Below are 16,047 nucleotides of genomic sequence, written 5' to 3' on the forward strand. Positions count from 1 at the left end.
TTAAAGAAAATGTGAATCATGAAAGCATCAGTAAAATTTCGGTTTGGGAGAGGCTTTAAGATGGTTGACTAGAGGCATCTGGTGCTCACCCCCTCCACAAAGAAGAACCAAAATATCAAGTAGATAATCACACTTTGAACAGATCATCTAACAGAGAACACTGAGGTTTAACAGAGAAGTCACAGGAAACACCTAAGGCAGGGAAGGAGAGGGAACCAAGGGAGCCTGCTCAGCCAGGATTAGCTGGGAGCCTGGGGAGGCTCCCCAGTGTGAGGAAAGGGTAGATGAGAGACCTCCAGTGATCCACATTCCCATGTGAATTCCTGCAATCCTAGCCACAGGAGAGCCCTTCGGCCCTCACAGACTCTGAGACTTAACATAGGGAGCTGCCTAGAGACCTCGTGATGGAATTGCTGCCGAGAGGGAGCTCATGCATGCTGGGTCCCACACACACCTTCTGAGTCTTAAGCAGGTACCACCACCATTGGCACCTGAGCACTCCTCTCAGAGGCCTCAGGTCAGGCCCACCCAACGTACCACTACCATCACAGCTGGCACTCACCTGTATATACCACCTGTGGGCCTGGGGACTGGCCTGCCCAGCTGCTAACACCAGCATGGACTGCGTGAGAAGCAGAGGGTTGTCTCACCACTGCTGCTGCCATCACCTATGCTACACCCACTGCCCAGGAGCCTGAGAACCTGCCTGGCTAACTGCTATCACTGCTGGCACCTAAGCAAGCCACGTAGAGACCCAAGAATTGGCCCACTTGGACCCACTAACACCAATGCCAGTGTACGCTGCCCTCGGGCCCAAAGACAAACACATTTGGCCCACCTCTGCTACTACTGGGGCTGAGGACTGGCCCACCTGGTAGCCTCATCCTCGGCAAAATTTTGCACAGAATCTACTAACAACTGCATCCTAAGGCACTGAAGAATCAGAGACACCACTGATGCTATTTACAACTGAAGAAATCTTATGGAGACTACACTACTGCATGTGGCCAGAATCAAAGCCAAAGTGCCCCACCCAAACAGCACCACAGATAACATCTTCAGGAAGTCCTCCCCTAAAAGAGATGCTAGAGGAGGCTGGGCGCACGGTGGCTCACGCCTGTAATCCCAGCACTTTGGGAGGCCGAGGCGTGCGGATCACAAGGTCAGGAGATCGAGAACATCCTGGCTAACACGGTGAAACCCTGTCTCTACTAAAAATTCAAAGAACAAAATTAGCCGGGTGTGGTAGTGGGTGCCTGTAGTCCCACCTACTCAGGAGGCTGAGGCAGGAGAATGGCGTGAACCCGGGAGGTGGAGCTTGCAGTGAGCTGAGATCGCGCCACTGCACTCCGGCCTCGGCAACAGAGTGAGACTCAGTCTCAAAAAAAAAAAAAAAAAAAAAAAGATGCTAGAGGAATTGGGTAAGGGAAAGGCAAGTCAGAAAACCTCATTTGTATGGTGATATGATAGAGAAGAGCTTTGGTTGGGTTTGGGGAATGGGCGGCGGGGGGACACCAAACTTATTCAGCACCTTTGGCCTGACCTGGACCTGGTTCTGTAGAATACACTCCATCCATATTTGCATTAGAAGATGAACTTCTTGAAGGCAGGGCTGTGTTTTGCTGATTTTCATATTTGCCATGTGTGCCTAGCAGAGTATTTAGCTGTTAGGTTGATGAACTCTTATCTACTAAACGTATAGCAGAAGATGAGGATTAAAGTTTAGGTATTGGATGGCTATAGCCTTGTATACTTTTGCAGTGTTTTCCGAAGAGCTGAGCACATCATCTCTTCCTTCTCTGGTGTACTGTCTGGCTAGAACAGGGGCCTTGTGTGGCACTCGAAATCAGAAACCACTTTCTGCCTCCCATTCATGTTCACTGGCGTAGGGTGAGACCTGATGGGCCCTGCAAGCTCTTACTTCCCTGGGATGAGAAGAGCAGAGGCTGGCTTGCAGCATCAGCCATGTTCCTCATTCTCCAAAGTGCCTGATTATTCACTAAATGCTGCCCTAGAGTTATCTCTACTGTGGTTAAATATAGAAAACTAGGTAGTGATTTTGGCAGTAGGTGACTAGGTTTATTTGGAAAGGTGGGTTTTTGTTGAAATGTTTCTCTTCATTACGCACACATACCTAATTGCATGCTTGCTAAAATGGAAGAAGAGACCAGAGAGGGACAGGGACAATCACTGTCACGACTTTTGGTGCCCTGACTCTAAAACTCACATGGTAAACTGATTTTTCTTCAAGAAAGGTGATGCTCTAAATCTAGACAGATTTATCCTGAAGTGTGGTTTTTAATTCATACCTTAGGGTTCATTTTACTATCATTTGGAAAGCCAATGTAGTTTTGGTTTCTCATGTAATGTCGGGCTTTATCTCTCTGCTTCAGCTGATCCCCCTGTGATCTCGGAAGAGAAAGGGCCCTGTTACCGACTTGTCAGTTCTGGAAGACAGTGTATGCACCCTCTGTCTGTTCACCTCACCAAGCAGCTCTGCTGTTGTAGTGTGGGCAAGGCCTGGGGCCCACACTGTGAGAAATGTCCCCTTCCAGGCACAGGTAAGACATGCCCAGCTGTATGCGCACATAGATTCCCAGCCACATGAGTACACGGGACAACTTTGGCACCTTGGGTCATTTGTGGTTTCTGACTTTAATTTTTAATAATACATTGTAAATATTTAATCACCTTTGTAGAAACTGTACACATACAATGTTGAATCAGTGGGAAAAAATTATGTGCAAAGAGATTTTCCCATTTCTATGTGATATCAGACTTCCTTTTGAATATTAAGAAAAGCCATTATATTTTATCTTCAATTTCCAGGACTCTGAGTCTGATATTTAAGTGTAGAGAGACCAGAAGGCTCTGCTGGGCCATGCGCTTTCCTAATGATTGGCTGCTCATCAATTCACAGTAACTAGACTTTGTGCAAGTTGACTCATTTACTCATTTATTGAGTATCGTGCTTAATTTCTTTAATTGGAAATGGAGGAAATTATATTCATGATTGAATTTACGCTATGAAGATTAATAACTTAAGGACAGAACTTGCCAAAACTCCTGAAAACTTCTGTGGGAGTTGAGTATTAAGAAGTAGATTATTCTTTATCCTTCAATTTGGTACATAATTGCCTTATGCCCTGAGAAGGCAAATTTATCTCTTTAAATACCTTCTACCAATGAACCACCAACTTCTCAAGCAGGATCAAGTAGAGTTAAGTGGAAGAGAAAGAAATGTAACCTGAAAGCGTTAGACCTGATATTAACAAGGAATGGCTTCAATGTCACTTACTTGGGGTGGACATTAAATAGTCTACTCAATTGCATGTTTGATAAGATGCTTTCTACCTAGGAAAGTGTCTTAACTCTCACAGGGCCATGTAGTGTCTTAAAGCTGTAACTTACACCATAGCAGACAAGATTTAAATATAAGTATCATGACTCACCTTTGTTCATGGTTAGAACCAGAAAGAACTGTGTTAAGGCAAAGGATAATACAACATTGATGGTATGTTGGTAGACTAGATAATTTTAGGCCTCCAAAAGATCCTAGTACCCTCTTGTGCTCTTGCTCTTGTGCCATCTGATGCACTTTTTTTTTTTTTTTTTTTTTTTTTTGAGATGGAGTCTCGCTTTGTTGCCCAGGCTGGAGTGCAGTTGTGTGATCTTGGCTCACTGCAAGCTCCGCCTCCCAGGTTCACACCATTCTCCTGCCTCAGCCTCCCAAGTAGCTGGGACTACAGGCACCCACCACCACGCCTGGCTAATTTTCTTTTTGTATTTTTAGTAGAGACGGAGTTTGACTGTGTTACTTGATCTCCTGACCTCGTGGTCTGCCGGCCTCAGCCTCCCAAAGTGCTGGGATTACAGGGATGGTTCCACTCATTATTAAAAATTAATAATCAAGTAATCTTTATAATTTATAGACACGTTTCTCTTGAAGTTCAGTTTTTAAAGCTTTCAGTTTGTGAATTTATTATGCGTATTATTTTGTGTCTGTATAATGTGTTTTTAATTTTTTTAAATTTTTTAAATGTTTAGCTTTTAAGTTCAGGGGTAAAAGTGGAAGCTCAATTTTGATAGCTTTATAATCCTTACATGAAGCATAAATTGAGATGGTGACTGGAACTCAGGGATACTCCTCTCTAGTACTATCAATAAATTTGAAAATAATATTCAAGATAAAATTTTTGCACTTAAGTTTTGGTTATATGGTGATTTTCACTAAAAATATTTAGTTCGTTAATTCTTTAAACTTGGTTTTTTTTTTTTTTTTTTTAGGGAGTTTGTTGTTGTTTTTCTGGTTTTGTTTTTGTTTTTATTATACTTTAAGTTTTAGGGTACATGTGCACAGCATGCATGTTGGTTACATATGTATACATGTGCCATATTGGTGTGCTGCACCCATTAACTCGTCATTTAACATTAGGTATATCTCCTAATGCTATCCCTCCCGCCTCCCCCCACCCCACAACAGTCCCCAGAGTGTGATGTTCCCCTTCCTGTGTCCATGTGTTCTCATTGTTCAATTCCCACCTATGAGTGAGAACATGCGGTGTTTGGTTTTTTTTTTTTTTTTTTTTTTTTTTTTTTTGTATTTTCTATTACATTTATTAATATCAAACACTGTTGTTTCCTGCATTTTTTTTTATTATACTTTAAGTTTTAGGGTACATGTGCACATTGTGCAGGTTAGTTACATATGTATACATGTGCCATGCTGGTGCGCTGCACCCACTAACTCGTCATCTAGCATTAGGTATATCTCCCAGTGCTATCCCTCCCCCCTCCCCCCACCCCACCACAGTCCCCAGAGTGTGATATTCCCCTTCCTGTGTCCATGTGATCTCATTGTTCAATTCCCACCTATGAGTGAGAATATGTGGTGTTTGGTTTTTTGTTCTTGCGATAGTTTACTGAGAATGATGGTTTCCAATTTCATCCATGTCCCTACAAAGGACATGAACTCATCATTTTTTATGGCTGCATAGTATTCCATCTCACACCAGTTAGAATGGCAATCATTAAAAAGTCAGGAAACAACAGGTGCTGGAGAGGATGTGGAGAAATAGGAACACTCTTACACTGTTGGTGGGACTGTAAACTAGTTCAACCATTGTGGAAGTCAGTGTGGCGATTCCTCAGGGATCTAGAACTAGAAATACCATTTGACCCAGCCATCCCATTACTGGATATATACCCAAATGACTATAAATCATGCTGCTATAAAGACACATGCACACGTATGTTTATTGCGGCATTATTCACAGTAGCAAAGACTTGGAACCAACCCAAATGTCCAACAATGATAGACTGGATTAAGAAAATGTAAACTTGGTTTTTAAAGTCATGTTTTCTTCTGGAAACATGTTTCCAAGTAAAAATTGTTTTTCCTAGTTAAACATAAGAATGAGGTTCTACCATTTAGTGTGTGATCCTTAGAAAAACAGTATTTTAGCATACTATAAGCAGTATTTTTAGAGTTTCCTTTTTCTTGAGAACTAATTTTAGGTCCCAGACATTCAATAGAAGATCTCTTGTTCAGTGAAAGTGAGAAATGACTTATTTTATATTCAATTTTAAAAGTAGAAATAAAAAAGTTAACCATAAGCTCCTTGGTGTCTACATTTGGTAATTTGCCTCCAACACCAACACCAAAGGGATTAGGTGGATTTTTCCTCTGAAGGCCACACACTGCCTTACCCTTCTTCTCCCCCTTGCCTTTCCCCTTCACTATTCATGGGGATTATGCCGTGGAGGTTAGCAAATCACATGTGCTGAGTCTACTTTTTTTTTTTTTTAAAGAATACAAAACCACTTTTTTTCTGGCAATGGTAGTGATTGATTCCAGGGCACAGAATATCTCCTTGGCCTCTGGGTAGTTAAATGAGCTGGTCACGGCCAGGCTTTTGCCCAGTTGTTGTTCCTTTACTTGAAAATAGCTGCATCTTGATTTGGCATTTCCCTTCTTTCTTGATTTCTACCTATCATCTCCAGCATGTCTCACTCTCTAGACTCTTCCTCACTATCCCGAGATTCTCCCCTTCAGAAACACTTCCCCTTTTCCGTCCTCCGTAATCTACATCCTCTTAACCAGCTGATACATGGCATTTTGGTGGAGCCCTTTGTGTTCTTCAACTGGAAGCAAACTGTGAGGATTTCGGCATCTCATTTCCCTGAATAGTGATTTTTTTTAACCTTATGGCTCTTCATCTAACTTAGACAAATGTCACTGAGTTCTTTTTTAATAACTAATGAAATTACATCAAAGCGGGAAAAAAAGCCTGATTTTTGCTGATAAGACATATACATGCAACATGAGATATATAATACATATAGTGTCTTCTATATATAAAATATCTCCTAATATATAACCTAATATGATATATAGTATTTTCTAATTGGTTGCTGATATATATGGGATGGAGGGCTAACTATATATATATATATATATATATATATATATATATATATATATATATATATATAGTTACCCTCTGTATCCATGGTTATGCATCAGTGGATTCAACCCAATTGGTTGGTTGAATCTGTGGATGCAGAACTGGATATGGAGGGCTGATCATACTATGCAATTTTATGTAAGGGTCTTGAGCATTGCAGATTTTGATATCCACAGGGGTTATCCTAGAACTAATCCCTCATGGATACTGAGGAATGACTATGTAAATAATATGATATATAAAATATATGCTAAGTATATGCTATATATAATATGTATATTCTGATTTGGGTAGGATAAGGAATTAACAGATGGAAAAATGTTTAGTAAAAAAAAAGTTGGATTTTTTTCTTTAAATATGCAAGTTTATCAGAAATTCGAGCAATTTGCTTACATTTTGCACCTGTTTTTGAAGTTTTAAAATGTAACTACATTAGTGATGATTTATTAAGAGCTATTCATCATGATATTTTCCTCTGTATAAGTTTGCACTGTTAGATTTTTAAAAGGAATATTTTCCCATCCCAAATCTAGCTGCTTTTAAGGAAATCTGTCCTGGTGGAATGGGTTATACGGTTTCTGGCGTTCATAGACGCAGGCCAATCCATCACCATGTAGGTAAAGGACCTGTATTTGTCAAGCCAAAGAACACTCAACCTGTTGCTAAAAGTACTCATCCTCCACCTCTCCCAGCCAAGGAAGAGCCAGTGGAGGCCCTGACCTTCTCCCGGGAACACGGGCCAGGAGTGGCGGAGCCAGAAGGTGAGAGCGGTAATGGATCATGGACTCTAGACATCTATCTGTGTGTCTTTGCTTTGATTTCCCTGTTTATAACCCTCTAGAACAGAGTTTCTCAGCCTAAGCACTATTGGCATTTTAGAGTGGAGAATTATTTGATTGGGGGCTGCCCTGTGTATTGTAAAATGTTTAGCCACTGCTATAGAATAATATGTACCTAGTAGATAACAATATTCCATGCTAATTTTAGAATGCTGTCCTGATGTTTGGGGGCTGCTTTATCTTGGCGTTTATATCTGGAGAGTAATTTAGATCCTTCAGGGAATAGCCCTAATTTCATTTCTTGTCTAGAAGGCCATTTAACAACTATTTATTTCTGAAGTGGAATCCACAGACTTTCAAAAAGTTAAAGCATTAAGGTCTAATGGGCAGTCAAGGATAATGGAGGATGAAATGAAGGAAGCTAAGAGATTGTCAGTTGAAGAGATCTGGTGATCACCTAGTGTGGTTCTTCCATTTACCCTCTGAGAAACCTGAGACCTAGAGAGGGGACATGACTTGCCAGATGTCATATAGAGAACATGTAATGGGACCTGTGACCACGGAGCACCTTTTCCCAAGGAAATAGTTTAAGGCTTATACTTGAGAGGGAGTCTAGAGACAATGGACTTTGACTCTCTCTCTGGCATTCAGGCTGTGGGGTCATCCCTATCTCTTGATATAAACCCAGCAATATCTAATACTTCACATATCTTGCTTACAAAGATGTTCACCTCAGAAGGAACAAACCTTTTGGATTTGTATGGAATAGACGTATTTTCTCTAATAAAGCTCCTGTTGGCTTTTCACAGTTGATTCTGAGGTCAGAATTCAGGGGGCCATTTTTGGGTGCTGTTGAGGAGATAGAGTGCCCAGGCTAGTGTTGTGTTGGGAGTTTGCCATAGCCGCCTTCTTGGTGAGGCAGGCTTTTTTTCTGAGCTCTGAACGTTTGTGTGTTCTGGCCTATTTGATTCTATGCTTTCACTCACTGCATTTCTTCCTTGGTGAGGCAGAACAGGCAAAACCTCAGCTGGAATCAACAGTATTAATCAGTTTGCCCCTGGACACTTAGTATCATGACCAGATGTTTGCAACTGTTCATTGTTTGCACAGGCAGGAGGAAATGGGCCGTAGTTCCAGATTTTGCCTCAAGACCTTCTTCGTGGTAGGTTAGGCAGAATAGAAGGTTATTGACTTTCTCCAACCCCAAGAATATTGCAGCAATGATTTTACTTTGTCTGGTACCCTGATTGCTTTCAGGATTTAATGCTCCTGCCCAACCTGTAAACTAATGTTTTTACAGGAGACATTGATTGACTTATGAGAAAAATCCTGGTGAATGTTGATCCAGGGCTTTAGAACTAATATGAAGGACTGATTAATGAAAAGCAAGTCTTTAAAAATACAAAGGCATCACCAACACCCTCACAATAACGTTTATGATTGTGTAATGTATAATTTGTTCAGTATATTGATGCTAATCTCTAATTGGCTCTTCCTGGCTTGTGAGATTCTTTTTCGTAATTTAGTTAGCATATCTTTTTGAAAATATTCACGGGGCTTCATTAAAGATTGGAATACATCAAGAATGCAGCACATGCTGTCATGTCTCTTACTGAAATAAGTGACATTCTTTTTTAACACTTGACACCAGAAAGCATTTCAAACATTATATACCATAAGGATAAACCTTTAACCAATTAATGAAAATGTTTGTTTTCTAACATATGGAAAGTTCCACATAACTGAGATAAGGCATAAAATGTTGTACCAGAAAGTATTGCCTTCTTCTTTTAATTTTAATTCTGAAAGAGTTTGAAAGACTTGTTCACATCTTCTCCATGTGCTCCAGTAGTTGAGGAGTAACAGCACTGAGAGTTCTCTGTTAGTCATGTGTAAAATTCCCTAAAATGGCAGATGATCCTAATTCTGCATTTGCTTTAGTCTGATTCTTAATCCTTTTGCAGAGATAATGGACTTCTATTGTTTTTTAAGAATTGAAATATAATAGACTGAATTGTCTTAAATGGTACTAATACCCTTTTTCTTTTCTGGTTTTAGTGGCAACTGCACCCCCTGAAAAGGTAATTTATTCATTGCTTGCAAGTCTTTTTTTTTCAACGCTCAAAGTGATTTTCTATTAGAATATGTATGGATTTTTTAGACTTAAATATAGTAACATCTCTATTATGCATCATTTGGTTTGAGTTAATATAGCATTCAGTTATTCCAAAAAAATTTATTGAGCCATTGTCATAGATTGGGACTCTTCTCAGTGTTAGGAAAACAATAGAGAACAAATAGGACAAAAATCTCTACTTTCATGAAGCTTCAATTCTCGTGAGAAGAAAATGGGAAACTAATGGGAATCAAGGGCATAAATAGAATTCAATGTCACCTGATGGCCTGGACCATCTGTGAAAGAAAGGCTGTGACATGCTTAGATAATCATGTATTCTTAGAGCACATATATAGTTAGTGAAGTACTTCTTAGTTCAACTAAAATTTAACATACATGTTTGAATTGAGTTTGAGTAAGAACAGAACTTACACTTAAAAGTTACAATCAAATACTAGAATGTTGCTTTTTGAAAAGTCAGTCTATTGGCTTTTGGGCATAGATGGGGGCTATGAATTGTGAGACATTTTAGTAGGAAATGTAAACATTTACTGGATCTAAGTCCTATTTATGTAATATTGTTCCTTCTCTGAATCCGGCTTTCTTTCTTTAATAAAAACATCCATTTTCATTAAATGAATGAACTTTATGTCAGAGAACTACTATGATATATTGCTAGACTAAATTATCGTTGCATTTTGAAATGGGATCTCAATGCATGTAACAGGCTTTAATTTTCTTTTTATCTCCTTCTGCATAATAATTACATGAAAATTAGGTAATTATTAAATATTTATACATTTATGTACCATTCTTTAAGCTGACAAGAATGCATTATTAGAATTTAGATGAGGCAATACATACATGAGTTATTTTAAATAGTATTCTAAATCTTATAATTATGGGATAGAGTAACATATATGTCATAACATAAGTGCTGAAATAAGAAAAAGAGACTTACAATTTTGGAGTGATAGCACTCGTCCAGAAAGAGGTTATAGTATTTTGAGACCAAAAAATGTATAACAGATATGCATACTTTTTGTGTACTTTTGAAGCTCTTAGCATCTCTAAAGATCAGTCACAGCGAGTAGTTTGCAATTTTGTTGATTTTGAATTTAGTCCTGGTTGATGTATGGAAGTAATTATTTAGCTTGTAGGTGGGCCAGCCAGCATCCTGGCAGCCTCATCACGACTCAGTTCTTCTGTCTTTATGATTGAATTTAATAACTCTCATTAAAAATCTAAAAAACCCCCAAAATTTTCTTGTATACTTTTACTGCATTTTATTTGGGGAGGAGATAGTACGAAAAATGCAATCATAGCCTTTGTTGTCTTGGTACTTAAAAAAGTCTCATGATGTTATGTGATGGATGAAGAAAAGAAAGGATACCCAGAGATGTGCAAAGGTGTGGTAGAGGGGACAGCAAGGGTCATGAAAGACTTGGTCAGAAACCGAATTAGGGACTGCTTTGGAAGGCTTAGAGTACCAAACTGCCATTGTAATCAGTGGGGAAATACCCTGCTTCTCGACTGGACCGTATTTGTTAAATGTAGAAGTGGTGTAGATTAGGAAGTCTGCTGCCTCACGGTGATGGGGGAAATTCTGTAAACTGCAGTAGTGGATTAACACCTGATCCTGGTCTGTTCCTTGTTGGCATTGGCCATGGCTGCAGGGAATGGGGTGCAATTGAGACTGGTTGAGGTCATCTCTAGTAAGTAATAGAAAGCTAGTTTTAAGAAGACAGAGGAAATGTGGGAAAAACTATTAAGTGCTCAGTATTTGTAGGAGCTGAATTTTGGTAGGTCTACTCAAGTTAAGAAGAAAGAGGAAGCCAGTTAGATTATTACAATAAACTGAAAATGAGAGTGAGTCCGGCCTAGGGTGGTGGGATCTATGGATATGAAAAAGGGTGAACAACTGTTAAGAAAAAAGTGTCAATGGACGGGGCTTGCAATGAAAAATGAAAGAGGGAGGACTAAAAGGTGACTTTAAACCTGGATGGGACAGATTAATGACTGTGGCACTGGTAGAAATGAAGTTGGAATGAGAGCCTGGATGGTTTTGGAAGGGTAGGCTGGAGGTATCTGTGGGATATCTAAATGGACTTACCCTGTAAGCATTTGTGCTTGCAAAGTTGGATTTATGATGAGATATCCAGGCAGACTATCTTAGAAAAAGCAGAAAATAGGTGATACTTGAAGCCAGGAGAAGAGGATAAGAGGTTAACAGAGGCCAGAGGAGTAAGCTTTCTGGAAGAGGACAGAACCAAGTAACTCGATGAGTACTTGAATGTAGTGATATGAGCTCCCTGGTCACATCTGGTGTGAGTGAAGTCACAGATCCTTAACTAGGCTAATTGTTCAGTCTGCCTGAGCCCTGCACAGTTGTAAATGGAAGCTGAGCCACGGATGATGGACTGCTTCTTTGCTTGAGGTCCAGGGGACAAGCGTGGGCACCAAAATGTGTGATGAAGCCCCAAATCCTTCTCCAAGCCAGCACATTTCTGTTGCTCTGCCTGGCTACCACTGTTCAGAGAGCTGGAGTTGTAAAGTTATCAGACGTGAGGTTAAAGAAGGCCATAGTAACTGACTGGTTTAAAATATTTTAACTTACCATGTGTTCTTTGTTATGGCACATCTGCTATATCCATTATTTAATCTGCAAACTGTGGCTGGTCATCTTAGTGGGGCAGAGCCACATGTGAATGAGGCAATAGTCCTCGTTGGGGGTTAGTTTTGCCCTGTTGCAGACCAAATATGGACCCCTGGGCCAAGACATTTACTTACAAGATCAGACTTTGGGCCTCAGGGAAATGGCTGAAGATATGTGCGTGGATTAGCACCACTGGGAAAAATTTAGGGCTTTCCATAGTAGCACCACATCAAAGGTTCTTTTTTTTTTTTTTTTTTTTGTAATTTCACACAATTATACATGTAAGGTCCTATGATATTTCTTTGCCTTTCTAAGAATATAATTAATTACATAAAAATAGTAATATGTGGGAAACTAAAAATAATTTCCACTTTCAATTCTTTTTTTTTTCTTATTCTCTTTTAAAATACAACCATCCAGGAAATACCTTCATTGGATCAAGAGAAAACCAAACTTGAGCCTGGTCAACCCCAGCTGTCTCCAGGCATTTCCACTATTCATCTGCATCCACAGTTTCCAGGTAGCCTGTGTTGATCTGTGCTGTTTGTCAGAGTATTCTGAATAAAAATGTAAGACGGGAAATTTTTGTCTTTGACTTTGTGTAGTAAATTACTAGACTTCATAACTGAAGTTCAGTGTTAAGTATAGTAATATACTTATATAATGTTAGCATAATTACAGCATTGTAAGGATTGTAGTGGGAAAGATAGGTTTTTTTTTTTTACTGTTTTCTGTGATCAGGAGTAGTATACACTATTCAGACATTATTGAAGGTTATCATTTGATGAACGATCATTTTTCTTGGCTTCCGCATCACTCTCAGATATTCTTGCTAAATGTTGAACCCAGAGCCTTGGGACATAGAACAGTTCTTTATATCTGACAAATGCTGTGATATATTGCTAGACTAAATTATGCTTGCATTTTGAAATGGGATCTCAATGCACATAACGGGCTTTAATTTTCTTTTTATCCTCTGCTTCCTCATATAGTAGTGATTGAAAAAACATCACCTCCTGTGCCTGTTGAAGTAGCTCCTGAAGCTTCTACGTCTAGTGCCAGCCAAGTGATTGCTCCTACTCAAGTGACAGGTTGGTGCAGTATTTTTACATTATATATCACATGGAGGAGACGTGGGGCTGAGCTTCATTTTAAATGTAGTATCCATTATATAAGCTTGCTCATGGCAGGGTTAGCCATACTAGCAAATATTTGGAAATCATCTAAATACAGTTAAAAAGGAGGAGTATGTGGAAATAAATTATAGTATATATGAAACAGAATATCACATAGTATTAAAATAATGTTTGAAAAGAGTAGTTAATATCATGAGGAAATATGGCATAATCTGTTAATAAATACAGAATACAGGCTGGGTGCGGTGGCTCATGCCTATAATCCCAGCACTTTGGGAGGCCAAGGCAGGCAGATCACAAGGTCAAGAGATCGAGACCATCCTGGCCAACATGGCGAAACCCCGTCTCTACTAAAAATACAAAAAATTAGCCAGGTGTGGTGGTGCGCACCTGTAGTCCCAGCTACTTGGGAGGCTGAGGCAGGGGAGTCGCTTGAACCCAGGAGGCGGAGATCGCAGTGAGCCAAGATCACGCCACTGCACTCCAGCCTGGTGACAGAGCGAGACTCTGTCTAAAAAAAGAAAAAAAAAAAAAAGGACTGGGTGCGGTGGTTCATGCCTGTAATCCCAGCACTTCAGGAGGTCGAGGTGGGCAGATCACTAGGTCAGGAGATTGAGACCATCCTGGCTAACACGGTGAAACCCCATCTCTACTAAAAATACAAAAAAATTAGCTGGGCCTGGTGGCAGGCATCTGTAGTCCCAGCTACTTAGAAGGCTGAGGCAGGAGAATGGCGTGAACTCAGGAGGCAGAGCTTGCAGTGAGCTAAGATTGTGCCACTGCACTCCAGCCTGGGGGACAGAGCGAGACTCTGTCTCAAAAAAAAAAAAAAAAAAAGAATATGATGTAATGATTACCATTTTACTTTTAAAATTTCTACAAACACGGAAAAAGAAAGAAAATGCATCAGTGTTCTGTTCTCACCAGTTAATACTGGATCATGGATAATTATGTTCTTTAATATATTTTTATTTTCAAAGTTCTGTATAATAAACATATTATTTTAATCATGAGTGAAATAGCATAAAATGTTTTATATTCTGAAACAAATGCAAAATTCTAAATGTCCATATCCTTAATGTGTATTGAGCTCTTATAAATCAATAGGAAAAATACTAACAATAGAGAAATGGAAAAATAATATAATCAGATAATTTGTAGGAAAAAACAATACCAAGAAGCATGTAACAGAAAATTTCGACTTTCCTGGTAATCAAAGAAAGGCAAACTAACCTAGGATAATACCTTATTCCTATCAAATTAGTATGTAAAACCCAATCAAATTTTTTTATTAGGGTGAGATTGAGACTCTCTCACATTGCTAAAGGGAGTATGTGTTGGGGTTCTCCAGAGAGACAGAACCAACAGGATATATCCAGATATGTAGAAAGAGCTTTATTGTGAGGGATTGGCTCACACCATTCTGAAGGCTGAGAAATTCCAGGCCAAGGAAGGCTGGTGTTATAGTTCTAGTGCAAACCCAAAGGCCTGAGAAGCAGGGGAGTTGATAGCATAAGTTCCAGTCTGAGTCTGAGTCTGAAGGCCTGGATACCGGGCATACCAGCGTCTGAGGGCAGGAGAAGATGGATGTCTCAGCTGAAGTAGAGCAGATTGCCTTCCTCAGCCTTTTTGTTGTGTTTGAGCCCAGCACCCAGCAGATAGGATACCCACCCACGCTGCTGAGGGTGATCTTCTTTACACAGTCTAACAATTCAAAGGCCTTTTTCTTCCAGAAACACCCTCACAGACACACCCAGAAATATGTGATCAGCTATCTGGACATCCCTTAGCCCAGTCCAGTTGACTCATGAAATTAACCTTCACAGAGTATAAAGCACAAATTGGCAATATGTATAAAAAACTTCAGAACTATTCAGAACTTTTGACCCAGTAATTCTATTTTAAGACATCTTGTCTAAGGAAATAATATTCCCAAAGGCTGTGGGTAGGAGTTTATATGAGTGGTTACCTATCACAGACAATGTATAATACAGAATAAATAGAAATAACTGTACATTCAACTACAGGGAAATAGATAATTATGTTACATCTATACATTGGAACATTATGTTGCCACCAAATATAGTATTTTTGAAGAATTTTTATTGAAATATAGCAGGAAGTAGTCATACAATATTGCTAAATTTAAGATGAAGGATAAAAAACTGAATGATATAGAGTATTATACCAGTTTTTTTAAAGACATATATACACTGAGAAAATGCTGGGAGAAAATACACTAGATATTAGCAGTGGTTTTTTTTTAGTGGCATCTGAGAGATTTAAGTGTTTTATTTTAGATTTTTTTATTTTCCATATTTTCTAAACTGAACAGTTATTTTTAGAGTCAGCAAAAATGTCACTAAGGGGCATCATCATCAACTTTAACTGAATTTATGATACCACTGCAGGATGAGGTTGACAATGTGTTATAGGAGCTAAATGGAAGAGTTTGGAGCCTCCTTTAGAATATTCCCTCCTCAGAAACATGTTATGGTTCCTTTCTAATAGAAATGTTCTCATATGTTAAGCTTTTGGCCACTTAGTGAGTCAGTAGAACAGGAGCCTCGCCCTTCAGGGTGCAGCTACAGTCACCTAGCCACGGCTCCAGATCTAGACATCCCTGCACTCTAAGGGGCTGGGAAGTCCCTCTTTCACCACAGGCTCAGAAGTGCCTGCTGTCACTCCTTGGCCTCTCCCCGCTGCCAGCGCCTGCTCCAGGGTGGAGCAAAGTTGTGGCCAAGCCCAAGTGCTATTGCAACCCAGCCAGTTGTGCATGTGCTTGGGTGAGTGTTGACATGCCAGTCCCCTGTCGCCTTGGCCCCCTCTGGACATTGGGCACCAATGAGCATGGGAGGGAAGCTGAGGGTAAGCTGAGGGTAGCTCAGTGTGG

General features: G+C 39.7%; 1 protein-coding gene across 65 annotated transcripts in view; it reads left to right on the plus strand.

Annotated features, from left to right (window-relative positions):
* LTBP1 (latent transforming growth factor beta binding protein 1) overlaps window positions 1-16,047 on the plus strand; it is a 452,557-nt gene that overhangs the window by 303,331 nt on the left and 133,179 nt on the right. For 18 of the 65 annotated variants that reach the window (NM_206943.4, XM_017004109.2, XM_047444368.1 and 15 more), the window contains 5 exons: window positions 2,394-2,561; window positions 7,001-7,228; window positions 9,305-9,327; window positions 12,439-12,538; window positions 13,011-13,109. In NM_206943.4, the coding sequence (NP_996826.3) occupies window positions 2,394-2,561; window positions 7,001-7,228; window positions 9,305-9,327; window positions 12,439-12,538; window positions 13,011-13,109 (618 nt within the window). Of the gene's footprint in view, window positions 1-2,393; window positions 2,562-7,000; window positions 7,229-9,304; window positions 9,328-12,438; window positions 12,542-13,010; window positions 13,110-16,047 lie in introns of all 65 variants that reach the window. The other 47 variants (NM_001394905.1, XM_005264318.4, XM_047444381.1 and 44 more) reach the window with 7 other exon arrangements.

This window comes from Homo sapiens, chromosome 2 (assembly GCF_000001405.40).
Source record: "Homo sapiens chromosome 2, GRCh38.p14 Primary Assembly".
NCBI lineage: Eukaryota > Metazoa > Chordata > Mammalia > Primates > Hominidae > Homo > Homo sapiens.